Source organism: Homo sapiens, chromosome 6 (genome assembly GCF_000001405.40).
Source record: "Homo sapiens chromosome 6, GRCh38.p14 Primary Assembly".
Classification (NCBI taxonomy): Eukaryota; Metazoa; Chordata; class Mammalia; order Primates; family Hominidae; genus Homo; species Homo sapiens.
Window position 1 is genome coordinate 42,400,664 of NC_000006.12, and position 26,464 is coordinate 42,427,127.

General features: G+C 44.2%; 1 protein-coding gene and 1 pseudogene across 52 annotated transcripts in view, besides 2 other annotated features; both read right to left on the reverse strand.

Moving 5' to 3' along the window:
- TRERF1 (transcriptional regulating factor 1) overlaps nucleotides 1–26,464 on the reverse strand; it is a 227,294-nt gene that overhangs the window by 175,733 nt on the left and 25,097 nt on the right. The gene's annotated exons all lie outside the window — the stretch shown is intronic.
- Nucleotides 1,888–1,937: an enhancer, noted in NCBI's record as "active region_24552". NCBI's record gives its function as "activates an Ori minimal core promoter by ATAC-STARR-seq in GM12878 lymphoblastoid cells {active_cell/tissue: GM12878}" and the evidence as "EXISTENCE:reporter gene assay evidence [ECO:0000049][PMID:35858748]".
- Nucleotides 11,654–11,733, reverse strand: LOC124901512 (uncharacterized; annotated as a pseudogene).
- Nucleotides 22,896–22,945: an enhancer, noted in NCBI's record as "active region_24553". NCBI's record gives its function as "activates an Ori minimal core promoter by ATAC-STARR-seq in GM12878 lymphoblastoid cells {active_cell/tissue: GM12878}" and the evidence as "EXISTENCE:reporter gene assay evidence [ECO:0000049][PMID:35858748]".

A 26,464-nucleotide genomic window follows, 5' to 3' on the forward strand; every position in this document is an offset into this window, starting at 1 on the left:
TCACCTCCCCACAAAGCTGGGGATGGGAGAAGACGAGGACTCACGGAGAAGACACCAGCAATAAAAAAGGAGGCAGGTGTAATGGGTGTCCAGCCATGGCAACCATTATCCTGAATGTCCCCAAAGTCCCAATGTCAAATAGTCTGTCACCACCACCCCCATAAACACTGGCTGTGTCCCAGACAGCACCACATTTCAGAATCTCAAATAGATGTTCTTGACAGGTCTTGCTCCCAAGGAAGACACAAGATTGTCTAGGAGACCCGAGTCCCAACTGGGGCCTTGGAAAGGACAGAATTCACCACCTCTTCTGCTTCACTGGCCAGAGAAAGGTGGAGGGGTGTGAACTAAACTGCAGGGGCCCCTGGCCATCCTCCCAATGCACCAGAAAAGCACGGCCCTGTCAAAGCATCCGGGGCCAATCATTTGAGAAGCCTTTGAAGAGGAGGGCACAGGCCACAGAGGGTGGGAAGGGCAGGTATTCTATGGGGGCCAGCAGCAAATACCTCAGTGGAGAGGCAGCAACCAGCCAAATGAGTACAGAGGCCAATCTGAGATACTGAATTAATTACCATAAAAAACCAGGCCGTCAACTACCAGTTACCCAGAAGGACTATCTCAACACCCTTCTTTTCACCAAAGGCTCCCTTCACCATCCGTGCTCTCAAAAGAAAAGATTCACAACACTTCTCATCATTACAATTAACACCTTTTCAGCCCTACTATGCTGTAGGCCTACACCAGGTACTTTAAATATCTCATCAAATGCTTAAAACCACCCAATTCAGGAAAATTGTTATTATCCCCATTTTACGGATGAGGTAACTGAGGCCGAGAGGCTACATAACTTAACCAGAGCTCCAAGGCACAGATAAGCATACAGACATGCACAAAAAGATTTTATCCGCCCCACCAGATTTCAAACTCCATGAGACCCCCAGGCCCTGCCTCAGAGCCTGCTTGCAGAGAACCTAGCTCCCAGTTTGGTGCCAGCATGGATGGGGCACTCCGTGGGTATCTCTCCAGCCACTTACCACTCTCCACACCCTGCCCAACCCCGCCCCACCTGCAAGAGGGAACATGCTGTGCCTGGGAGTCTTGTCTTTTCAGTTCTTCACAACTGAGTTCATCCCCAAAGATTGAAATGCCTCAAGCCCTGTGTACCACTGGAGACCAAATGGAACTTCACGGATTCATTTCTTGAAAAGAAAACCACCACCTGCAGGCAGACAGGAGCCAACTACATTTCTACTTAAGGAAAAAGGTCTTGGGCTTTGAAGCATTCCTCTCAGCAGCCGATAACGAAGAAATAAGAGTGGGTCCTTTTATTAAAAATTAATATTTTACATAAAAACAAAACAGATGCAACATAAACCTCTAGTCTAGAAGCAAGTAAACACCAATTTGCACAGACTTGTTTAGTTGGCTCCAAAATGTGCCTTCCACTGTTTGGAGACCAAAATTAACTTCCAGTAGTAAATTTAGGAATGAAGAAGTTAAGATGGCTATGGACCCTCACCCAAGACCTTGGTACTACTTGGGACCATAAAAAGGATTTTCTATGTCTTTTTAGACCCCTGAGGCTGGGTTGCCTGTATTGCAGAGGGCCCTGTCAGTCCCAACTGGCATGCATCTGCCGGGCATCTGAAAGCTTTACAGTAAATGGTGACTCATCTATTGCAGCCACCATAGGTACCGCTAATGTAATAAGCTGAAGTTTGTTCCATCCACATGAAAGAGAAACACCGGGTGCAGGGCTGTGAGCCTGACTAAAACTGAGACCCCTGTTCACCGCTACTCGTCAGCATCTAGCTGCAACTCAAACTGTAATTACCCAGCTCTTAGGGACTGAAGGCAGGGGGAAGGGGGGTTTCTAAGGAAGGGTCACATCCATAAACACAGAACTCACTTCTTATAAGTCATTTCTTTTGTTATTGTTGTTGATTTGGTTATTACCAAATGTCTACCCTTCTGAATTCTTATAAAGTCATTTCTTATCAAGCTAAGTCTCCCCATGTGGTCACTTATTCAACAAATATTAACGGAGCACCTACTACATCAGACACCATGCTAAGTGCCAGATACACAAAGGTGAGCAAAACAAGATCGAATGCTGCCCTCATGGAGATTCTAAGTCCGGACTAGCTGCTTTACATACCTTTTCTCATTTAATAGATCCATCTTACAGATGAGAAAACTGACGCTAGGAGAGGTCAGGGAAGTCACCCAGGGTCGCACATTAATTAAGTGGGGAGCCTGGACTCACACCCGCTTCTGTGGCACCCTGAAGGTGAGGCTCTCAGCCACCAAGTTGCTGACAAAGAGAGAGGAGCGAGGTCCAGTCCCTGTTCTGAGGAAGCTGGAGCCTAGTTAGGACAGGGACAATAAAGAAAGTATTGGGGTGCAAAAAAGAAAGTACTGGGGTGCTCACAGAGAGGGAGCGGCTCACGAGACAGAGACAGCAAACCTCAGCTGGGGTAGATTCTGGACATCTTCCCCAAAAAAGGCCATGAAAGTGGGAGGGAAATAAGGCCCAAAAAAGCAGGTAAAAACGAGGCTGGTGCTAGGTTGTCTCCCAAAAATTCACGGCCACCTGGAATCTTAGAATGTGATTTTATTTGGAAATAGGGTCTTTGCAGACATAGTTAGTTAAGATGAGGTTATACTCATCTTAAGCTCACCTAATCCAATGACTGATGCCCTTATTTATAAAAAGAGAAAATAGCGACACACACATACACACACACTCACGGAGAATGCCACGTGACAATGGAGACAGGGATTGCAGTGATGTTGCTACAAGCCAAGAAACACCCAGGATCGCCAGCAGCCACCAGGAGCCAGGAGAGAGGCACGGAGCAGTTTCTCCCTCAGAACCCCTGGACGGAACCAACCTTGCCAATACCTTGATTTCAAATTTCCAGAACTGCAAGAGCAGACATTTCTGTTGCTTTGAGTCATCCGGTATGTAGTACTTTGTTTCAGCAGCCCTAGAAAGCTAAGACAAGGCAAGGTCCAGGCAGGCTGTGCACATTGTGTTAAGGAGTTTGTACTCCACCCTGCAGGTGTGGGGCAGATTGTAAGCAGCAGAATGGGATACATTCCAGAGCGCATTTTGTAACCGGAGCTTATATCCTTCAAATCTATGGTCTCCAGTCCTAGAGCTGTTAGTGTCCTCCAGGGCTTCATTGTCCACTGTCCATGCTTTCCCTGCCCACATTCTTCTTGCTGGGCTCATCCGCACTGACAGACTTGAAATTCCATGAGACCCCCCCCAGGCCTTGCCACAGAGCCCGCTTGCAGAGAACCTAGCTCCCAACTTGGTGCCAGGCATGTATGGGGCACTCCGTGGGTGCCTCTCCGGCCACTCACCACTCTGCCTGACCCCACCCCACCTGCAAGAGGGAACATGCTGTGCCTGGGAGTCTTGAGTACTAGACTCAAGTACTAGAATCTGTTTGCAGATGGTGCCCGACTCCAGCCAGGACATTCTTCTGAGCAGATGCCTCTAACTGTAGTTCCCATGGGTTTCTCAAGCTCAACATGTCAAAAGGTAATCTCAGCTCAACATCTTTCACCTTATTTCTCTTGGGTTCCTCCTCATCTTTGTCAATGGTGCCACCAAGCATCCAGTAACATGCTAAAAGCTGGGGGTCACCGTAGACTCCCCTGCACACCTCCACATCCAGGGAACTACAAAATTATCTCTCCATTCTAGTCCTACTTTTTCACTCCATAGCACAATTCTAATCATTTCCTCTCTGGATTCTTGCTGTGGCCACGTGATGCATTTTCATTCCTCTAAGACTCCCCCTTTTCTCCCCTACCCCCACCCCAATCCAGCCGTCTTGAATGTGAAGCCAATGCTGACTCCAAGAAGCACGGCTTTCAGAAAAGCTACCTCCAGCCCACTGCACCCAGCCTGAGGGCCTCTGGTGATTCACAGGCCTTAACCCTGTCAGGAGCCCCACCCAACCTCATTTCCTTATCCTCTCACCCCAGCAGGATACTCTCCTCCTGCCTCTTGATCCTACCGTCTAACCGCTCTCTGTGCCGATTCCTGCTTCCTATCAGAGCTAAGCAAGTGCAGAATCCAAGGCCCTAAGGAGCTAATACCTCAGGGCTGCTGCTTTCTCTTACTAGGAAACTCTCACTTTGGGTTTTCTTTGTGTTCATCAAAAGAGAACAGTTCTCATTTGCAGGACTAAGAGAATTCCTCTTGCCTAAGGGTGGGACAGGGAGATTGAAGGGTCACTAAAAGTTTTACATATTTAGTCAAAGCTAATATACCCACCCCCAGGCTACAGTCAGCAGATAGGTCAGTTTCTCAGGGGGCTGGATAGGGTTCAAAGTTGCAGACCAGTGTAACAGCAACCACCACTTACAGCTGTGCTCCAGAACTCTGGGTATTATTTAATCTTCACGGTAACCCTACCAAACTAGGTGCTGTTATCACTGCCACTTTATAGACAGAAAAGTGAGGCATTAAGGGTTAAGTACTCTGACTCAAAGTCTTACAATTGGGAAGGGAAAAGGCAGCAGTTAAGGACCATCCCAGCTGTGTTCCAGTGAGGTCACTTACAAGGAAGGGAGGGAATTTGGTTCACACAGCCTTAAGATGCGAGGCCCCAGCACACAAGGTTATACTGATGTGTGCTCAGGGATGGAGACAGAATTTGAATCTCCTCCTGTGGGACTCTCTAGGCCTCCATTTCCTTATCTGAAAAACAAGAATGATTAGCCCCACCCAGAAGAGTTATTGGGAGGATTTAAATTAGATGATGTACGTTCAATTACAAAGCAAAATGCCTGGCACACAGAAGGTGCTGCTTCAAACTGAAAATAGACGGGTCTGGTGCGGTGGCTCACACCTGTAATCCCAGCATTTTGGGAGGCCGAGGTAGGCAGATCACCCGAGGTCAGGAGTTCAAGACTAGCCTGGCCAACATGATGAAACCTTGTCTCTCAAACAAATACAAAAATTAGCCAGGCATGGTGATGCACATCTGTAGTCCCAGCTACTTGGGAGGCTGAGGTGGGAGGACTGCTTGAGCCTGGGAGGTGGCAGTTGCAGTGAGTTGCGATCACACCATTGCATTCTATCCTGGGCGATAGAGCCAGACCTTGTCTCAAAAAAAAAAAAATTAAAAAAATTAAAAAAAATAAAAAAAAAATAGGGAAGGGGCAGAAGATCAAGACAGAGAGAAGCAGGCAGGGGGAAGCAACTACCTGCCCCTGTGGAGTACAGGGAAAGTGTTACTGACCCACCATGCAACAAAGCCCATGACACAGAAGCACCGTCATTTCCAAGGGGCAAGAATCCTTTGTGATCACAAAAATAACAAGAGCAGCAGCTAGTGTGTATGGAAGACCTGGAAAGTTCCAAGCACTTTCCAGATACAACTCAGTTAGTCCTCCTCATATCCCTAGGAGGTAAGTTAGTCATCCTCATTTTACAGAGGGAGAAACTGAGGCTCAGAAAAGTTGGCTGACTTGGTCACAGTTATGGAGGCTGGCAGCTGTAAAGCTGGGACCTGGCCCCAGGTGACTAACTCCAGGTCCCACATCCTATCAACTGCTTCCCGAAAATCAGTCAGACCCCCTTCCTGGTTCCTGACCTTCCTCTTCCCTCTTCATCTCAGAATCTTCTTGCCCTTCACCCTCTTCTCTTCTGCCCCTCTCCTCACTCCACGGAAGAAGATGAACTCTGGCCAGTGCCGATGACTCCTCTTGTTGAAAGGGCATTGGTACAGAGGAAGGACCACAGGCAGAGCAGGCAGAGGCCTCTGTCCTGGACCCAAGTCAGCCCAGAAAGGAGCTCACATCCCAGTCCCTGCACACCCCAGTTCCCTCAGCTCACAGGTTGCAATCGGGCTCCAATGAGTTAACAGACCTGGGTATGTCCAGTATATCCTAGACGACTGCTCAAATCTACCTAATGTCTTCTGGAACCTTCCTCAACAAATGCTGCCTCTCTCCGGCATCCCCCATACTGCATCTTAGCCAGTCACTAGCCCCTTGCCCTGAGTGGCCCCAATGTCCCTCGTCTTAAAAACAGCATCCCTGGCCTTGCTGCCTTCTCATGACACTTACCCCCCACCCCCCTCCTCCCCAGCCTTTGCAGGGATTTGTGTAACCACTCCCTCTGGATGTACAAGCTCCCCAAAGGCAGGGACAATAATCCACATTCCCTATGGGATCCTGCATTGTGTCTGTTTTGGCATGCATCCAGGGGAAACCTTGACAAATAGTAACTGAAAAGCACAAAGAACATTTAAGCATTACATCTTAGGTCATTCTCACAACAAACCAGGGAGACACAGAGGTTATTCCCATTTCAACATGAAGAAACAGGGGCTTGGGCTAAGAAGCTCAAGGTCATCTAGCTCCCAAGTAAAGGAACTCAACACTAGAATTCATTAGTTATGCCCCAAAGTGTCCTAAACACACCAGATAAGTGGCTGGCCTCCTTTCCTTCCTGCTTTTTCCACAAACCAGGCTTACAAAAAGTTTCAACTGCATGGTAAATCTAAGTCTGCTCAACAAAATGCTCTCTTTAAGTCTCTGTCTTCTCCTCTTAGGCCACATCTCCAGATCTGAAATGGAAAGGGCACATATTTATTTGCTGGGGGCTGCAGTCTCTTTTCACCGTTATTCGCAATGACTCTGTTGGCTGCCCTGTTTGGGGCTGTGTTTGTCTGTCTGCCCGTCTCTGTTGTCACGCTAGTCCTGGATCTGCCCCCAAACTACAGACATTCTGCAGAGATGGGACAAAACGAGGGAGAGTGGGCAAGGGGCTCCAGGATTCCATAAAACCGGCTCGACAAAGAGAATGCCTGCTCAGAAGTCAAGAACTCCTGTGATCTAATTTGTGGGTGTCACCATTACCTCCTCTCAGGGTGGAGACTGGGAGCTTGAGAAGAGAGATGTGACTTGTCCAAAACCACATGATAACGTAGTGACTCAAATCCAGCTCCATGTGGAAGACTTCCCAGTGCCGTCTCTCCACCGCAACGCATTTCCTCTTTTTACTACAGAATTTCCCCCCTCCTTTCTTCTTTTAAAAACCAACATTCCATGACATATTTACAATTTTACAGAGAAAAAAAAAACCTAATCAAAAGTACATCAAATAAGCCCTATACCTGTCCAGATTCTTATGGACGTGTGCGCACAGATATTTACCAGGTCATCATCAGCACAGGTAAGCGATTCCATATTCTTGTCGCACTTAACTTTGCTCTGTCTATCTCGTATCAAGTGTTTGAGTTCTCCACTGTATTGTTTTCACAGCATTTGCCTAACTATTCCCTAATTACCTGCATTTGGTAAAGAAAAAAGAAAGTGAAACACCTTTGTATCTCTCAGTTTATGATCCAGGCTTCATACAAAATGATGTGTTCCTATGCCTGGGTTATTTCACCAATATAGTCTAAGTATTTGCCTTAAAGAACTTCATCAGTTCTGTGCTTAACTTTGATAACATGTCTTATCCATTGGTTTATTACAACTGTTTCCCTCTTCCATTAACTTCGCTATATAAATAAATATATATATATATATATGTGTGTGTGTATGTATATATACATACACATGTGTGTGTATGTATATATACATACACATGTGTGTGTATGTATATATACATACTCATGTGTGTGTATATATATATATACATACACGTGTGTGTGTGTGTATATATATATATATATCTTTTTTTTTTTTTTTTTTTGAGAAAGAGTCTCACTCACTCTGTTGCCCAGGCTGGAGTGCAGTGGCGTGATCTCGGCTCACTGCAACCTCTGCCTCCCGGGTTCAAGCGATTTTCCTGCCTCAGCCTCCCGAGTAGCTGGGATTACAGACATGTGCCAACACACCCGGCTAATTTTGTATTTTTAGTAGAGATGGGGTTTTGCCATGTTGGCCAGGCTGATCTCCAACTCCTGACTTCAGGTGATCCACCCACCTTGGCCTCTCAAAGTGCTGGGATTACAGGCATGAGCCACCGCACCCTGACATCCTTTAACATGATTTTATTATTTTTATCTTATAGATTTTATTCCTTTATAGTTGAACACATCTCATTCCATTAATGATCATTTTTATGGAATTTTCAAACACATTTGCTCTCGAGGAAAAAATACCACCTGCTTCCTCTGAGTTTTAAGAGTTTGTAAAACTAACTTTTTAATACATCTAAAATTTATAACATATGATGTGAGATATAAATCTGAGTTCACTTTTTCCACACTGTTATCTAGTTTTTCCCAAGAGCTATTTATTGTAAAATTATTTCTTTCACTATTGTTTGCCTCTCCAAATTTGTCATATATAAATGTCTTCCAGGTCAGGCGCGGTGGCTCATGCCTGTAATCCCAACAATTCGGGAGGCTGAAGCAGGAAGATAATTGAGCCCAGGAGTTCAAGACCATCCCAGGCAACATGACAAAATCCTGTCTCTACAAAAAATTAGCTGGGCATGGTGGTGTATGCCTGTAGTCCCAGCTACTCAAGAGGCTGAGGTGGGAAGATTGCCTGCGCCCAGGAAGTTGAGGCTGCAGTGAGCCGTGATCACGCCACTGCACTCCAGCCTGGGTGCAGTGAGACCCAGTCTCAAAATAAATAAATAAATAAATGTCTTCCATTCATTTAGATCTATTTATTGTACTGATCTTCCATTTTCCTGCTTTATCCTACTATTGTACAATTTTAATAACTACTGCTTGCCTGCCTTGTTTGCTTAGAGAAGTCTTGCTCCTAAAAGATTTTCAAAACATCCTTTGATATGCATGTCCACCAATTTTTCCTGATTATTATTATAATTATCATGTTCTTGCATTATGAAGTATTTCACTGGAATTTTAAATGCCAAAAGGGCATGAAATCTAGGCATAAACTTTGGAATGCTGACCCTTTAATGCTTTAATTTCTGATCAGAAGCAGCCATGTAGGATTTTGTAATTTTCTTTGAATAAAAATTGTGTCATTTGCAAACAGCGATATTTTTATCTCTTCCTTCCCTATACCAATCCCTCTAGTTTCTCTTTGTTCCTATATTGTTATGACAAGCATCTGTTAAACTATGTTAAATAAGAGTAGAGATAAGGGGCATTTTGGTTTAGTTCCTGTTTTTCAGGGCACACTTCTAGTATTTCCCCACTCAGTATCTGCAGCCCCTGTGTAAGGATTGCTACACGGTTATACACAAACAGGCTCTTTATCCTACATAGGGGTAAATCCCCCAACACACCTATTTTTTTACTCTTCTGATGCTTTATAATGCATATGTAATTATTTCCAGTATTTTTCTACATCCACTGAGACCAAATTCATTCATCCATCAAACATTTGTTGACTGATTATATTTCAGGCACCGTGCTGAATAATAGGTATTCCGATTTTTATGATTTCTTTCTATTAATATTGGCCTCTCTGTGTTGAATCAGACTTATATTCCTGAGACGAGCCTTGCTTGGTGATATTTCAAGACTCTTTTTTTGAGACAGGGTCTCACTCTGTCACCTAAGCTGGAGTGCTGTGGCATGATCAGGGCTCACAGAGTCTCAGCCTCTGGGGCTCAAGCAATCCTCCCACCATGCGATTCCTCCCAAATAGCTGGAATCACAGGTATGCACCACTGTGCCTGGCTAATTTTTTTTTTAACTTTCTGTAGAGATGGGGTCTCACTATGTTGCCCAGACTAGTCTAGAACTCCTGGGCTCAAGCAATCCTCCCCTGTCAGGTTCCCAAAGGGCTGGGATTACAGGCGTGAGCCACTGTACCTGATCTCAACACTCATTTTTTAAAGAGCCCATTCAGTGACCATAAAATTCATCTGGAAAAATTAATAAAGAATACTGAGATATCAACCTCCAAAACCCAAATCAAACATCTCCTCTGTGAAGCCTTCCCAAACCTCACCTTTATTTTTTTACCCTCGCCTTTCTGAAGTAGAGTTGGAGGCTCCTCAGTCCCCCCTCCCTCCATCACCACATTCATTTAACACAGGGACTGTAATGCAATCAATCAATGGCCATGTGTCTGATTCCCCTCAGGACTCAGTGCCCTGAGGACAGAGACATGGTATATCACCAGGGCTAACTACTATGGCTACTGGATGGTAGATGTGCAATAAACATTTCCTAGTTAAGTCATTCACCTATTTATTTATTCCACTGATGACTTCTGCAGCTGTGTGTTTACATGAAATTGATCTGTAATTTCCTTCTTGAAATGAGCAGGGCATGGACAAGCCCACTCAGTTCCAAGCACATACAGAGAAGCTGTGGTCCAGTGGGCAGGCCTCCTGTCTGGAGAGATGCTGGCAATCTCTAGCTGGCTGGGCTCACAGGGACTGTGGGGAAGGGGACAGCCTAGAACAAAATTATGAATAGTCCCAACAAGTGGGCAAAGCTCTATGATGGGGGAAGTCAGGATGGGCAACCCTCTGCAACTCAGGCATCAGGACATCTATTGAAGGTTACTAAGGCTCCATCCATCCGGCTGGACTGGGCAAGATTCCAACCCCTGAGAGTAGGACTAGTGATGCCAGCTACTAGTTATCAATAAACACTGTGCACTGGTTCTATGACCACCCTGTCAGGTATATTCTATTGCTCCTGTCTCATACATAAAGAAACTGAGGTCCGGGAGGGTTAAGTAATTTACCCAGAGTCACACAGCCAGTAAGCAGATGAGCTAGAATTCAAACCCATGTCTCCCCACCACACCTGGTTATCACTAACAAAGGGACAGGACAGGGTCTTGGTCCCAATTCGGGACCTGGATATCAGGCACGTTAGCAGAACAGGAACTAACACAGAAGCCTCTTAGAAGAACTGAGACTCAGAGAAGGAAACGGGACACAGGAACGAGGCAGGAGGCCCTGCCATGTCAAAGCCAGAATAGTGTCTGAGCCCAGAATCCTAGCCAGAAGGGATCTGAGTCTCCGTTTCCTCAGACCAGACATGACTATAAGACCTGAGGGCAGGGCTTGGCTGAAGGAAATAAGCCAAGGAGCTGCCCTCACCAGGGATGAGGCAGGCAGGGTCTGGATGGGTGTGCACCACTCAGCCCAACAGACCCCACAGAGAACCAACGTGTAGTGACACAGGCTTCCCACCATGGGCAACATCAGCTGCACTCAGAATGGGAGGGAGGCTGTGGAACATGGAGAATCTGACTTTGAATAAATGTCTGAAAATCTTGGCCTTTGGTTTTCTTATCTGTAAATGAACACGGCTGGACCAGATGGCTTCTGCAGACACCGTGGATTCTGTTTTTCATTTGGGGATTCTTTGCCTTAACACCACCAATTATTTGAATTTTTTTAAAAAATCCTTTTTTTTTTTTTTTTTGAGACGGAGTTTTGCTCTTGTTGCCCAGGCTGGAGTGCAATGGTGCGATCTCGGCTCACCACAAACTCCGCCTCCCGGGTTCAAACGATTCTCCTGCCTCAGCCTCCCAAGTAGCTGGGATTACAGGCATGCGCCACCATGCCTGGCTAATTTTGGTATTTTCAGTAGAGACAGGGTTTCTCCATGTTAGTCAGGCTGGTCTCGAACTCCCGACCTCAGATGATCCGCCCACTTCGGCCTCCCAAAGTGCTGGGATTACAGGCGTGAGCCACCACGCCCAGCCTAAAGAAATCTTTAAAAATATTTTCTGGTGCTCTACATGTTCAGAGAAATTTCTCTAGTAATGAACTATAGAAATGATTCCTGAAAGTACAGTCTTAACAGCACCATTTAAATCAGGGGTCCTATGTATGGTCATAACTAGCCAGGCTTTAGGAGGTTTGCAGCTCACACAGGCGAAATAAAAACCAGGAGTTTGGTGTGCATGAATACAAAATTGGGGAATGTTTCTGAAGAGAAAGTCCATGGCCTCCATCATATTCCCAAAGAAGTCTGTCAGCCACCAAAAATGTTAAGAACAACTAACAACTAACTGATCCAAATGGACCTACAAAGTCAGCTCAGTGGTGGGGCATGACGGCTCATGCCTGTAATCCCAGAACTTTGGGAAGCTGAGGCAGGAGGATCACTTGAGGCCAGGAGTTCAAGATCAGCCTGGGAAACATGGTGAGATGCTTGTCTCTACAAAAACAAAAAAAAATTAATTAATTTAAAAAAATTAGCCAGACATGACAGCCATGTGTCTGTCATCCCAGCTACTAGGGAGGCTGAGGTGGGAGGATCACTTGAACCCAGAAGTCTGAAGCTGTGAGGAGTCTGAGTCAGTGAACTATGGCTGTGCCATTGTACTCCAATCTGGGTGACAGGGTGGGGCCCTGTGTCAAAAATAAATAAAAAGAAAAGAAAACTCAGCTAAATCAGTGGAGGCTAGGACAGCAATGCTTAGCCAAAGCAGTCAGGTCAACCGACCAAATGTGCCCAAAGAAATTTTGTAGCCACAAACCATCTTCTACCCTCTCGGACCATCTAGAAAGAATACGGCCACTAATGAAGCCAAAAAAAGTGATTAGGTGGGTCAGGGCATCTCATCTTCACCACTTCAATAGAAAACAGGATGAATTTCATTGCAATAGTTAGAAGTATCATCTTTTTAACAGTTGGTGTATTCGTTCAATACTGGATACTTGGGTACTTAGTATCACTTAATATCACTTAATATCCTCCACCTAATATCAGTGGAGGAACAGGTATCATTTTCTCTACTTTCTCACTCCCCAAAGGTAGACCCCATCTGGAGCTGGTTAGAAACGCATCTGGGGCCTCATTCGCACTTACTGGATCAGAATCTGCATTTTTTTTTTTTTTTTTTTTGAGACAGAGTCTTACTCTGTCACCAGGCTGGAGTGCAGAGGCACTATCTCAGCTCACTGCAACCTCCGCCTCTTGGGTTCAAGTGATTCTCCTGCCTCAGCCTCCTGAGTAGCTGGGTCTATAGGTGCGCGCCACCATGCCCAGCTAATTTTTGTATTTTTAGTAGAGATGGGGTTTCACCATGTTGGCCAGGATGGTCTTGATCTCTTGACCTCGTGATCCGCCCGCCACAGCCTCCCAAAGTGTTGGGATTACAGGCGTGGGCCACCGCGGCAGCCCAGAATCTGCGTTTTAACAAGAGCTCTAGACCCAAGGAGCTTCGTGTGCACCTTAAAGTTTGAGAAGCACTGCTGTGCTTGCGTTGGCCAAAATTTACATAAGAAAAAAATGAAAGATAAAAGAAAAATTAAAAGTGAAAATACAAGTAACAAGAATGTGAGCAAATGTCAGGGAAGAGAAGGAAAGCCAAAAGTTGGCCCTTTGGGGAAGAAAATTTTTCGTGAAATTAATAAACCATGGGCCCAATTAATTTCAAAGGAATAAACTGGAAAAGTTAGAAAAGAAACACAAAGACCCAATAAAAGTGCCACTGATACAAGGAATTTTATGTGCAATCTTCAGATAATAACTTTGAAAGACAAAATCAACAGGGCGGTACTTAAAAATTTACAAGACACCCAAATGAAAGCAAAAGGAGAGACACAAACTGAGCAGCAACAAGTAAGTGAAAAACAACCAAGGGGAAAGCATCTGGACTTAAAGCATCCTTGGAGGGTCTTTCAATAATGTGTAAACATTTTTTAGCCACTTAAATATACAGGCAAAACATTCACACTTTTTTTTAATGCGCCATAAAGTGTAGGCCTCTCTCAATACCACTCTGTCCCAAGAGGGCACCTCTGTTACAAGCCTGGTTCACAGCTTTCAGGCCTCTTTTGCATGAATAAGTGATTCCATCAAAAATATTATACTGTCAAAAACATGATATCGTTTTGTGCGTTTTCTTTTTTCAAAAATAGTGTCACCCTGTACTATTACTCTGCAACTTGCTTTTTTCACTCCAAATTACGTTTCTGAGATCTAGTCTTACGACTAGTTACTAACTTAATATATTCCTTTTAACTACTCTTGCAGTGTTTTCCAACTTTTTTGACTGAATCACACAGTAAGAAATACACTTTACATTGCAATCCAGTTCACATTTGTGAATACACAAAACTGAAACAAAAGCTCACCAATTATTCAGCCACATTATGTGCAATGCACTCCGTTATCTTCTATTCTTTTGTTTCACACGGTGTCAAAACCCACTAAGGTATTTTATTGACGCACTAAAGGTCTGAACAACCCAGGTTTTATTTAGCCCATCTCCCACTGATGGATATTTACATTGTTGTCTTCAATTTTCCATGATTACAATAATGTCCAATGAACATTGTACATGTGAGTGTTTCTCTAGGACAGATACCTATTAGTGGAACTGCTGGGTTCTAAGAGATGGGCATTCATAATTTAGATAAATATCACAAATTGCCTTCCAAAGCAATCGTATCCATTTACTCTCACCAGCAATGTATGAAAGTAATTTTTCTTTACACTGTCACCAAATCAGTGTATTATTAAATATTTTGATCTCTTCCAATCTGATAGGTTACAAATGCCTTCTTATTGCAGCTCTGATTTGTACTTTTTATTATAAGAGGGTTGTGGGTCTTTTCATATATTTAAGAACCACTTACACTTCTTTTCTGTGAATTTCTATCCATGTCCTTTTGCCCATTTTTCAATTAATGACCCTTTTTATTTATTTTTAAGGGCTCTTTGTATATTAAGAAAATTAACTCCTTTTATCATATTTTTTCCAAATTATTTTTCTCAGATTATCATGTATCTTTTGACTTTGTTTACAGTGTTACTCTTATGAAGTGGATCTCATTTTGATGTTGTCAAATGTATCAGTCTTTTATGTTATAGCTTCTGGGATTTGTGTCAAACTTAGGAAGGTCTCTCTACTCCAAGACAACAGAAAAATTCTTCTATGGCTTTTACGCTTTCATTCTTTATTTAACCATTTGACCTATGTTTGATAGGCTTATTCTGGTCTAAGGCATGTATTAGGGATCCTGCTCTTTCTTATCTCTCAGATAGCTATCTGGTTATGAAGATCCTATATTTTTCCATACATTTGAAATACTGCGTTTATCACAAAATACACACATGTATACACACACCCTTATTTATTTTGGGCTCACTATTCTGTCCCATCACTTATTCAGCCAATTAGTACCAAGTGATCTTAGTTATTGTAGTTTTTTAAAATGTTTACCATGTATCAGAGCTAGAACTTCCTTTTTCTTTTTTATATTTTTCATGCATGCTAATTTTTCCATATGAACTTAGAACCAGCTTTTCTACACCCAAAATAATCCTAGTGGTAATTTTATTATGATCACACTTCACATGTATAGGAAAAGTGACACTTTTATAACACTGACTCTTTCTAGCCAAGATTATATTATTTTTCTCTTTAAGTCTTTTATGCCCGTTGGTAGTGCTGAGATTATATGTTAATATAATTTTATTAAGCTTATAACTAGATATTTTATCTCTTCTGTTGCTTATACAAGTGGGATTTTTTTTCTTCCATCATATTTTCTAGCTGGATATTTATGGGGGAGTACTACTGATTTTTGTGCATTAACTATGCACCAAACTACCTTACTGAATTCTCTTGTTTGTCTTTTAGTTTTGCCTTTTCCTTCTAGGTTTTATACCTCTTATCTAATTACACCAGCTTATCCCCACCAGAACAAGGTTATATAATTATGGTGTTTAATCGGGATTTTAATGGGAATGCATCTAGCATTCACCATTTTAATACTAAGCAAAATTTTGGCTACTTGCTTGACAAAAATGTATTTTCCCATGTTGAGGAGGTATCCAATTATTTCTATAGCAGTTTTTATTAGAAACGGATGTGTAATTTTTCATAAACCTTTTCAGCATCTTATTTTCTCCTTAGATCCTTTAATACAATGAATTTTTATTAACAGAAATCCTAAAGTTAACCTATCCTTACCTTCCTGTTCTGGAACTCCCGTGACCATGGAGTTCTTTAAATGGGCTGCTGGGTTCTAATTATGTTATTAGAATGTCGCATCTTCAGTATTCAAAACAGAGACCACTTTGTGGCTCTGTGTGCACACCTGTTTTTTTGTCACATTTTGTTACACTAGCTTCATAAAAAGAATTTAAGCGCTCTTTCTCTGCTTTAGGACAATGTAAATGGCATTAGAATCACCTGTACCTTCAATATTTGAAAACATTTACCTGTGAAACCATCTGGTCCTGGGACTATTTTAAGGAATAGCTCTGATAACTTTCTCCATTTCTTCTATGGTAATTGGTCTGTTAAAATTTTATTCTATTCTAGTGTCTGGGTTTTTTGTGTGTGTTTTTTTTAAGAACACATACTTTCATGTTATATAAACTATTTCTAAACATAGAAAAAGATCCTACCAGCATCACTATAAGAAGTAAATATAGCCTCCACCCCAAACCTTACCAGGACAACGCCCAGCCAGCCTGGTTCCTAGCTACTGCACCCCTCCTCCCTGCCCTTTTTAAGGCCTCATCTTTTCTCACCAACAGACTCACAAAAAAAGAGGACAGACAGGTTTGCAACAAACCAGAAACATACTCCAAAGCAACATGGGGGCTAACCCTGCCCACCCCATCTCCAATGCCATCAGGGAAGGACTGCTGAAACTCGCCTTACCTTCTCTTATGTAGCCAAATGGCCCATTCCCCTCTCAGTGGAGGCCCTTCTAATTTTGTCTGGGCTTCTTTTTCTGAGCCTTCACCAGCCCCTACCCCACGGACCCCACTCCACTCACTCCAAATCCTCTGCCTCCTATGCACAGTATGAAGGGATCCATGTGTATGCCTGTCCACCAGGCACCCGGCAGAGGCTGAGGCACCTGTTATACACCGGTCCTGCCCTCTAAGAGTGTGTCACCTGAGTGAAGGGTTAGGACCTGTCCACAATTAACAAAAAGCCCCCCAGGAAACAGCCCAGTATGATGAGGCACTAAACAGTGCAGCAGAGAGTGGTCCAAGGGTATAAAGAGGAGGAACGACTGGCCGGCCAGGAAACCCACATCCAGCAAGAGACAGAGGGCAAGGCTGAAGACCGGCATCTGCCCATCTGCCTGGCCAGAGCAGGGGCCAGATAAACCTGGAACACATGGGCCCTGGAGCCCCAGCAAGAGGTTTGGACATGACACAGCAGACAACCAGAGCCCCTGTGGGCTCCAGGGAGTAACAGGAAGAAAGTGGTGTTTTGGTCACACCCCCCCAACAGTCTATGATGCCAGACTTGCATTCAAAGAAATGGCTAGCTGCGCCAAGAACTCGGTGAGCTGCAGAGGGTGAATAAACCACAACCCTGCGCTGATGCCACAAGTGACAATGAACACACACACATACAATTCCAGGCTCTAATGACAGAGAGCAGACTGGAATCATACCACAGCACTAGGGTTTAAATCTTTTACTGCACTACACAATAAAAACCACATTGCCACAAATCTCTAACCTCAGGGGGCATCTGTGCTAGCCCAGCACTTCTCAAACTTGACGTGCACCCAATCACCTGAAGGTCTTGTTAAAACTGCAGATTCTGATTACACAACTGTGGATGGGACCAGAGGTTGGTTCGTTGGTTCATTCGTTCTTTCTCTCTTTCTCTCCTTCTTTCTTTTTCTTTCCTTTTTTTTTTTTTTTTTTTGAGATGGAGTTTTGCTCTTTCTTTCTTTCTTTTTTTTTTTTTTTTTTCCGAGATGGAGTTTCGCTCTTGTAGCCCCAGCTAGAGTTCAATGGCGCGATCTTGGCTCACTGCAACCTCTGCCTCCCGGGTTCAAGCAATTCTCCTACCTCAGCCTCCTGAGTAGCTGGGATTACAGGCACATGCCACCATGCCTGACTAATTTTTTGTATTTTCAGTAGACATGGGGTTTCACCATGTTGGCCAGGCTGGTCTCGAACTCCTGACATCAGGTGATCCACCCGCCTCAGCCTCCCAAAGTGCTGGGGTTACAGGCGTGAGCCACCGTGCCTGGCCCTGCGTTTATTTCTAAACAGCTCCCAGGTGATGCTGCTGGTGCAGGGACTGTGCTTTGAGTACTAGATTATACTAAGGCTCTAGTGGGCTCGTAGGTAGTTGATTAAGGGCACTAACCACAGGCAGAGAGAGAACTGGGGGCTGCCTGTGGCCTGCGGCAGAGCACCCAAACTAATCAACTCATTTTCTATTCAAAAGATTCATGCTGGGGGTTCAGTAACAGGCAGGGCTGCCTTAAAGCCAATAGTAAATGGAAACCACCCCCTGCATTTCACAACTGCTGTCTAATTACCTTCATGTAACCTCTCACAGTGCCCTAAGCCAGCTCTTTCAAGTACTGATGCCACTAATCAAGTCATAAAGCCTTAAAGCATCATATTATTAGCCTTGATAACAGGGTGTAAAACAAACCTGAACAACAATGCATTCACTTCTCCTCCCAGCTGAGGCCATCAGTCAAGCTACGTTACAACCCGGGTCAAGGGAAAATGCACTTAACCAGTGAGAATCCCATATCCAGGATGGCCCGTGCCAGAGAAAAGTAGTAGCTTTTTAAACGAACTATTTGAGAAGATTCTGGAAACTGATATGAACTGCCACAATCCCAGAGACTTCTTTCCTGTCTCCATCTCTTTAGATAATTCAAAACCTGGAAGAAGTTTCTACTTCCCCCCACCGCCCCACCCCACCCCCCGCCCCGGCTTCTGCTGAGTCCCCTCTCCTCACTCAGGTCACCTGCTTAGGCACAGAGTGACCGGTTCAGATCAACCCCCCTCACAAACCACAGTGCTCCCCATCATGGCTCGATTCTGAAATCAGGCAGCCTGTGTTTCAAGCGCATGCCTGTGGCCTGCATGTCCGAAGGCAGACCTGGACCCCACCTCCATGCGACTCACAAAATTAACCCTCCTACCCATCCCCCAACATGTGCCAACAAATTAGGGTTCTAAAGTGCGCAGAACCTCAGCACCTTACTATACACTGGGGGGATTCACAAGACACAATCCCTGAACTTGAGAGCTGCTACAAGAGGAGATATAGCACTCCAAGCTTATGCAGCAACCAAACCTTAAGGTCCCTAGTGGCTGGCACCCACGGATTTGGAGAATGTCCTATACTTGGGCCCACAGTTCTACAGCACATAACTAATGACAACTCCATGGTGGGGATTAGGTCATTGGCTCTGGAAGGAAACAAGGCTGAGGATGTACCCTGCTCAGGGCAAGCACTCCTGCCGTGGTGTTGACTGGGCAGAATGTGAGGAACAAGAATTAACCTGTCCTCCAATGGCCACGGGTGGGTAACTCACCTGAGATTACACACTGGGTGTTAATGCTGAAACCACAGCTCAGGTCCCCCAACTGCCAAGCAGAGGTTCTTTCCACTAAATCACACTCCCTTCACCTCCATTTTGGAATTCCTCAATGAAATTAGCATTAGAAGATTTGTCTTTTATTTGTTCTTTATTCTCCCCACAACCTCAACCAACCTCTAGCGCCCTCTTTCTCTTGGGGAAGCAATGTGATTTAACCTACCTAGGAGCTTCTCCTGTTCTGCTATCCATGAGATGGGAGGACGGCAAAGCAAAGTCACCTCCCTTCCCAGGACTTAGTTTCCTCTTCCCTAAATGAAGGGGTTAGTGGAGATACTTTCTCAGATCCTTTCCAGCTTTAAGCAGAATCAATAGGCACTTCACTTTGTAGCTAAAACAGAAAAGAGGCCCCCTAAACTATGGCCCCTGCCTCATCCTGGTCTCTGCAGGGAGGATGGGCTGGTCCAGGAACCTGATAAGAAGCTCCAGTCCACAAAGAACCCATCCACCAATCGCCTCCCGTGGTCCACCCAGAGCTTCCCCAGCCCACACAAGAGGAGGAACAGAATGCTGCCGGCAGCCTCTCAAAAACTTGCCAGGAAGAATTCTTAATTAGAGTTTTTTGTTGCATTGCGGTATTTTATTTTTAATGACTTTTTTAAATTATAGAAATTATAAAGTTAATTCATGCTTATTAGAGAGAATCAGAAAACATTTTATTTTTAATAACTTTTAAAATCATAAAATAAATGTACATTTGTTACAGAAAAATCAGGAAACTTATTAAAAGAAAATCTCACCTATAAACAAACCTAAATATGTTTAATTAAATCATATTTCAATCAAGAATCAAACCCAGGAGTTGGGATTGACTTTAGAGTGATGGTACAGGATGAGTCTTGGATGCTGTCATGTAAGTCATGGGGGGATTACTATGATCCAATCCAATCTCCCACTGAGGTAGAAGAAGGTGGACAAGAATTCTGCTTCCACTGTCCCTGACAGGGGGCCACCCAGCCTCTGCCCGAACACTTCCCGCTTTTTCAGCCCTTTTCCAGACAGCCCAGGCCATTTTGGAGGACAGCTCCATCCACGGTTCTTCCTACAGTAGAAGGTAGTGAATATGCACAGGCTTTTGAGAAAGCTGGGCTCAGGTTCAATTCCAGGCTCAGCCTCTTACATGCTCCATGACCCTGGGAAAGTCATTCAGTCTCTTTGAACTTGAATTTCCTCATCTCTGTAATGGTAACACTAATGCCTACCTCATTGGGTCGTTGTGAGATTTCAATGAGTGAATGTATAGAGCGCACTTGGCAAAGTGCCTTCCATAGTAGTCTAAGTGATCAATAAACAGCAGGTAATATTATTAAATGGTAGCTTGGAACAATGGCTTTCAAACTTTTTTCCATTCTTACTCTCACTAATTAATTACACTTTATATCATGACCCAGCACATAAAATATCTCTATATACACATAAATATATAAAACTAGACAAATATTTTCAAGAAACAAATGCTGACCCATGTTCATCTGGTCCACTCAGACTTTTTTTTCCCTACTTTCCTCTTTCCTTTCTATTCATTTCCTTTTTAAAAACTGCTGGTCTTGGCTGGGCACAGTGGCTCACTCCTGTAATCCTAACACTTTGGGAGGCTGAGGCAGGCGGATTGCCTGAACTCAGGAGTTCAAAACCAGCCTAGACAAAATGGCAAGACCCCGTCTCTACTAAAATACAAAAAGTTAGCCAGGCATGGTGGTGCACGCCTGTAGTCCCGGCTAATCGGGAGGCTGAGGCAGGAGAACTGCTTGAACCCCAGAGGCAGAGGTTGCAATAAACTGAGATCGTGCAGTTACACTCCAGCCTGGGCGACAGAGCAATGCTGTCTCAAAATTAATTAATTAATTAATTAATTAAATTAAATAAATAAAATTGCTGGTCTTGATCACTAACTTGATTGCACAACTGACAAATAGATTGCAAATCACAGTTTGAGAAACACTGGCCGCGTGTGGTGGCTCACGCCTGTAATCCCAGCACTTTGGGAGGCTGAGCCAGGCGGCTCACTTGAGGTCAGGAGTTCGAGACCAACCTGGCCAACATGGTGAAACCCTCTCTCTACTAAAAATACAAAAAAAATTAGCCAGGCGTGGTGGCGTGCACCTGTAGTCCCAGCTATGTGGGAGGCTGAGGCAGGAAGAATCGTTTGAACCCAGGAGACAGAGGTTGCAGTGAGCCAAGATCATGCCACTGCACTCTAGCCTGGGAGACAGAGTGAGACTCCATCTCATTAAAAAAAAAGAAAGAAAAGAAAAGAAAAACACTAACTTATACTAAGACCAAATCTCTCCTCCTAGCCGGGCACAGTGGCTCACACCTGTAATCCTGGCACTCTGGGAGGCCAAGGCAGGCAGATTGCTTGAGCTCAGGAGTTCAAGAACAGCCTGGCCAACATGACAAAACCCTGTCTCTACAAAAAATACAAGTTAGCCAAGTATGGTGGCGTATGCCTGTAGTTCCAGCTATTCAGAAGGCTGAGGTGGGTGGATCACTTGTGCCCAGGAGGCGAAGGTTGCAGTGAGCCGAGATCGTGCCTGGGCAACAGAGCCAGACCCTGTCTCCAAAAAAAAAAAAAAAAAAAAAATACAAATCTCCTGCCATACCTTCCACCTTTCACTTCTAGCTTTACCTTCTGGAACCATGCAGATCTACTCTGCTCCACCTTCCACCTCAGAGTCTCACATATGAAACATCCTTCATTCTCTCAAGCAGTAATTTCACGAGATAGGGCTGCCCAATCCCCCTTCGCTCCACCCCTTTCTGCCCAACTCCTTCCCCTGCACTCTGTGCCCCTTCCATCACTGCCGTCCAGGATGGCCATGATCATCTAGCAGCTGCCCTACTTCTCCCATGGCCTCTCCACAGCCCCACAGCCTCAGCTCAAGCAGCCTGGCGTGAGCATCTTTTTTTTTTTGAGATGGAGTTTCGCTCTTGTTGCCCAGGCTGGAGTGCAATGGCGCGATCTTGGCTCACCACAACCTCCATCTCCCGGGTTCAAGTGATTCTCCTGCCTCAGCCTCCCGAGTAGCTGGGATTACAGGCATGCGCCACCACGCCTGGCTAATTTTGTATTTTTAGTAGAGACAGGGTTTCTCCATGTTAGTCAGGCTGGTCTCGAACTCCTGACCTCAGGTGATCTGCTTGCCTCTGCCTCCCATAGTGCTGGGATTACAGGCATGAGCCACCGTGCCCAGCCATGGGCATCTTTTTGAACCTTCATGCAGGATGCTTTATCCATCCCCAGAGGAACTCATCTTGGTTTCTTCCAGCCCATCCGTAACTCTACTCGAAAAGCTGGTTCTCTCATACAAACATGTTCCTTCTTTGTCCTTCCACAAATTAGGATGCCATGGAACTCATCAAATAAGAAGAGCGAAAGTGAGGAAGAGTTTCAGTACGCATATTTGAGCCAAAACTTAAAACCAGAAAGTGCCCCTTTCTTACTCATTTCTAAACTAGCTCTGCTTGCTAACCCTGGAACCAAACCGAGAAGGCCCCATCACCCAGCCACATCTACGTCCCCCTTACGGTGAAAGCAGCCCCGAGACAAGGAATCACACACCTGGCTGCAAACGCAGCCTTTCAGAGCTGAGATCTCCCAGCACCACCTTGCATGGGCAGGAAACCATAGATATCAGATGCAGCCACAGTTTCCCATATCCTATCTGCATTTGTAGTGATCAAAAAATACATTCGTGGTAATAAGAAAAAAATAAAATAAAATGCACACATATGCACCTAATATCATACTCCAATTGCTAACATTTTATAATTCGGGTTATTTAAAAAAAAAAGTTTCCAAAGCAATGACAAAAATGTCTACTCTGCCTTCAAAACCCAAGCTGACTCCTCCTTGATCCCATCTGTATCATTGTACTTGGGGAGCTTGTCACAAACACATTTAAGGGAGTGGTTCTCATAAGAGGAACCTTCGAAAACCTGCCCCCCAACATTTATGGCTTTCTTAGATAATCTGCATCCCAAAACAATGTAGTTTTAAGTTTTTATTGACCTTCAAATGTAATAAAAAGATATGCTGTTTGGAATATTCAAAGTCTTGTTTTTCTAAATTCAAAATTATATTACTAAAATTCACTCAAACCATTACATGTAGATGTTGTTCATTCATTTTGCTGCTGTATAACAATCTATCACATGACAACAATGTATGTACCCATTCTCCAGCTGATGGGCATTTGGCTTTCCAGTGTTTTGCCATTATGAAGAGTGCTACTAGGAATATTCTTAGTATATGTCATGTATACATGCTGCCCACGTAAGCAAGTTTCTCACAATGATTGTATACCCAGAAGTGGAAATGCCAGGACATGCTGTATGTGAATGTACAACATTACAAGATACAGGTTGAACATCCCTAAGCTGAAAACTTGAAATGTTCCAAAATCCTAAATTTCTTGAATGCCAACATGACAACACAAGTGGAAAATTCTACACTTGACCTCAGTCCATGACATGTTGCATCAACTGAGGTCAAAGCTTTGTTTCATGCATAAAATTATTTTATGCATTTGTTTATATATAACAAGTGCATTATACTATCTCAAATATTCCAAAATCCAAAAAAAAATCCAAAATCTGAAATACTTCAGTCCCAAGAATTTTGGATAAGGGATCCTCAATCTGTACTACCCAACTGTTTTCCAAAGCAGCTGCATCAAGTTACACGCCTACCAGCAGCTCCTAAATGACCATAATGTCCTATCTCCTCTTCAATGCTTGCTACTGCACAGCTTCTTCACGTTTGCCCATCGAACAGGGAAGAAATGGAATCTCATTGTGATTTGTATTCCCTGGTTACTAATGAAATTAAGTGTCTCATCATAAAAAGAGATCCTCTCCCAGCCTAACTCCGTACACTTTTCTTTCATAGCTCATACCGTTGTCCATAATTAAACATTTGTGGGATTATTTGATGAAAGCCCATCACTATTTTCTTCACCACTGCATACTGTGCAAGTGGCACAAAGTAGAGCCTCTGTGTATCTGTTGAATTAATGAATGCACGAGTAACCCAGCACATGAGACTACTCAGTTAGTCTTCAAGTTCTGACCTGATTTTATTAAAAGCCCGGGCTCGTGACTCAGGGTCTGACCTCCTCAGCTGAGTTATCATGGGGGTAAAAGTGACAAGGTACCTCCTAACCTGGACTGAAGAGAGGGAAGGGCCCAGAGAGGGTGGGGGCAAAGTCCACTCTGGAACTGGAGCGATTAGCCATGCTTCCTCAAAAACAATAATAGTGAAAAAACAACTGCTCTTGTGAATTGCAAGCTAAGAATGGGTCACATACTTCACACTGACTAATAAGAGCTACCATTTACACAGTGTGCTGTCACTTACTGGATTATTCATCTGACCCTCACAACATCTCTATGGAATAAATATGACAGCCCCCAACCAACCCCCTACATTTTACAGCAAAGAAAACTGAGGCTCAGAGAGGCTAAGAAAGTGCCCAGTCACAGAGCACATAAAGGGCAAACCCAGAGTCAGAGTCAAATCAAGTCCAGTGTGGCCCCAGAGCCCATGCCCCTTTCACATACCTAAACCGACACGGCCCCCTGGGCATTTTTTTTTTTTTTTTTTTTTTTTTTTTTTTTGAGATGGAGTCTCGCACTGTCGTCAGGGCTGGAATGCAATGGTGCGATCTCAGCTCACTGCAACCTCCACCTCCCAGGTTCAAGCAATTCTCCTGCTTCAGCCTCCCGAGTAGCTGGGATTACAGGTGCCAGCCACCACGCCCAGCTAATTTTTTGTATTTTTAGTAGAGACAGGTTTTCACTATGTTAGCCAGGCTGGTCTCGAACTCCTGACCTCGTGATCCGCCCACCTCGGCCTCCCAAAGTGCTGGGATTACAGGCGTGAGCCAGTGCCCCGCCGGCCCCCTGGGCTTTTTATCTTCTCTGCATGGGGCTGCTTTTCCTCCCCACTTGCCCCCACAAACCTCCCCAGGCTCCAAGTTTTGCTCCACATCCCACAAAGACTTTCCCTGCACGTGGGGAGCAGGGCTCTGGAATACAAGGTCACCCTCCAGTCTGTCCCTTACATTTGCACTGACATACATACTTGACACTTCCCTGGCTGCAAGATGCTAGGTGTCACCCAGCAAGTTGGCAAGCGGACATCATCCAGGCCCATCTCTCCTAGGGTTCTCCCAAGTCAATGGTTTCCCCTTCAGTTCTGCAGAAACCAATCCCTTTCCAACTCTGAAAGGCTTTTACTGCAAACTGAAAGCAAACATCTAGCAAATGCCTACTACACACCGGGCACATGACATATCTTAACTCAGCAAGAAATACTATGTAGCCACTAAAATTATATAATCCAGACCAACATATGTAAATAAACATGAAACTCTGTGAAGTGAAAAGAAAGCAACTCAAAAATAGTACCTACATGCCAAATGTGAGTAAACACAGTACCCCCACACAGACACCAGTGGGTAATATAAATAGAAATGGGTGTTCACTAGAACCTTTCTTCAGTAAAGTTACCTAGATTTCCAATGTCCCCCAGGAGCTACTTGTCAACTATTTGTAACAGGTCTGGTTTCAAAGCAATGCTACAAATAATTATTCCCAAAAAGAATGAAAACTCCATGTGGGTCATGATCACATCTATTTTGTTCGTAGCTGTCTCTCTAACAAAGAGGTGGAAGCCGTCAGACCAGGGATCAGCAAATATGACCTGCTGCTAAACCTGGCCAAACACCTGGTTTTGTGAATGAAGTATGATTGGAACGCAGACACGCTCATTCATTTACGAGTGATCTGTGACTGCTTTTGTGCTACAGCAGCAAAGTTGAGTAGTTAGGACAGAGATACGGCCCACAAAGTAAAAATATCTACTCTCTAGCCCTTTATAGAAAGTTTGCCAATCTTTGATCTAATGCTTAGCCTAGAATTCTGCATATACTGGAATAATACTTATTGAATTAATAAATTCACTTACGAATGTATTATATACATTTAAAACCTTATATCAAATTATTATAGGTTTATTTACTTCAATTAACCTAAACCAAGGTAATATATAAGAACTAAGGGCTGGGCGCAGTGATTCACGCCTATAATCCTATAATCTCAGCCTCCCAAAGTGCCTATAATCCTAGCACTTTGGGAGGCTGAGATGGGAGGATCACTTGAGGCCAGAAGCTCGAGACCAGC